General features: G+C 41.3%; 1 protein-coding gene across 23 annotated transcripts in view; it reads right to left on the bottom strand.

Moving 5' to 3' along the window:
- Positions 1–1703, bottom strand: part of ACSM3 (acyl-CoA synthetase medium chain family member 3) — a 123177-nt gene that overhangs the window by 96393 nt on the left and 25081 nt on the right. The window lies entirely within an intron of this gene.

Raw genomic sequence — 1703 nt, 5'->3', positions numbered from 1 at the left:
TTCCTGCCTTCTGTAGCCTCCGTGACTTTGTATGTGCTATATAATCTTTTCAGCATTTTTTATATATAAATTATGACCTACCATTTATATTATTGAAGAAGTCAAAGGCTGAGATTCATCCTTGATTCTTTTTATTCACTCCCTATCAAAACCATCAACAAGTCCACCTAAGGTTGTCTTAAAGATCTATCCCATATCCGTCTGCTTACCTCCATCTCCAGTGCCATAACTCTTGTCTGAGCCACCGTCATTACTTGTTTAGTCTATTGCAGTAGCCTCCCGACTGGCATCCCCACATCCATTCTTGCCTCCTTAAAATATCTTCTCCACAGAACTGCCAGAGTGGGCTTTCTAAATGCAAATCTGACCTCTTTTTCTGAATGTTTTACTTTCCTGTATTACTTTATTTCAAAATCAAGTCACCAAGAAAATGAGTTACTTAATAGGATCATGTCTCTTTCCTCCTAAAATCTTCACGAGACTTCCATGCACCCACCCATTGCACTTAGAATAGAATCCAAACTCCTTATTATGTCCATAAAGATCCTTAATGGCATGTCTCCTGCTTGTGTCTCTGACCTCACACTTTATCATACTTCTCACTCAGTAATCTGCCATCCCAGTCCCCCACCTATGCCTTGAAAATGTCAGCCTCAGGCTTTGCACTTGCTGTGGCTTTTGCCTGGAGTTCTTTTTCCCTAGCTGGCTGCTTCTCCTCCTTCAGGTCTCAAAATGTCACCTCTTAAGGGAGAACATCCTTAGCCACCTCCCCACACTCTCTCCATCATATTGCCCTGTTCTGTTTTCTTTTTGGCAGTATCACCATTTGAAATCCTCTTGCTTATTTAATTGACTTTTTGCTTATTGGCTTTTGCCTTTCTATCATAGGCATGTAAACCTCTTGAGAGCACCAACCTTGTCTTACATGTTTAAAGCACGCCTAAATGTTCCTTAAATATCCACTGAATGAATGAATGTATCATAGGTTTTCTATAATAAGCAGACGATAGCAAGTTCAAAAAGCTGAGGTTGGTAGGATATTTAGCTACATGAAGTCACTCAGAGAACAAGGCTGATAGAGACTTTGCCATTTTACGATGTCACTATCTCCATATATGGTTTCCAGGAGCATTGAATCAGGGGAAGAGAGTACAGAAAACTCATACCTGCTCTTAAATAAATGCCCTAGGCCAGAAGTGACTTGTAACACTTCCACATGGAGTTTATTGTTCAGAACTAGAGTTTAATGGCCTCACTTTAGCTTTAAGAGAGGTTGGGAAATGAAAGAGGAGCACACATAGAATGTTTGGAGAGTTTTCCTTTGTCCGCTGTATACCTCTTGTTAAAGATGAGAAAATTGAGGAAAAGAGGGATAAGAAATCTGCTCAATGTCACAGAGCTGGTAACTGGTAAAAGCTAGACTCAAGCCCAGGCTGCCTGGTGCCAGAGCCTGTCTTCTTGTCCATGCCTTCATGTTGCAGTTCCACAGGGGAGAACTACTCAGATGCAGAGAGTGTGTCAAGGGCTTTTCCCCCGTCTCCATTCTTTTCCGAAAAGTGGCTGCTCCTTCTCTTTAGTAACAGAGGTTTTTTGGTTAGTTGTTTTGTTTGTTCGTTTCTTTGTTTTTTGGTACTTTGATGCTTTGGGTGTTTAAGGTTTAGCTTACCATGGCCAGTCAACTAGCCCTGCCTTCTCACCTCTCC

Source organism: Homo sapiens, chromosome 16 (assembly GCF_000001405.40).
Source record: "Homo sapiens chromosome 16, GRCh38.p14 Primary Assembly".
Classification (NCBI taxonomy): Eukaryota; Metazoa; Chordata; class Mammalia; order Primates; family Hominidae; genus Homo; species Homo sapiens.
This window is presented reverse-complemented; position numbering and strand designations above follow the sequence as displayed.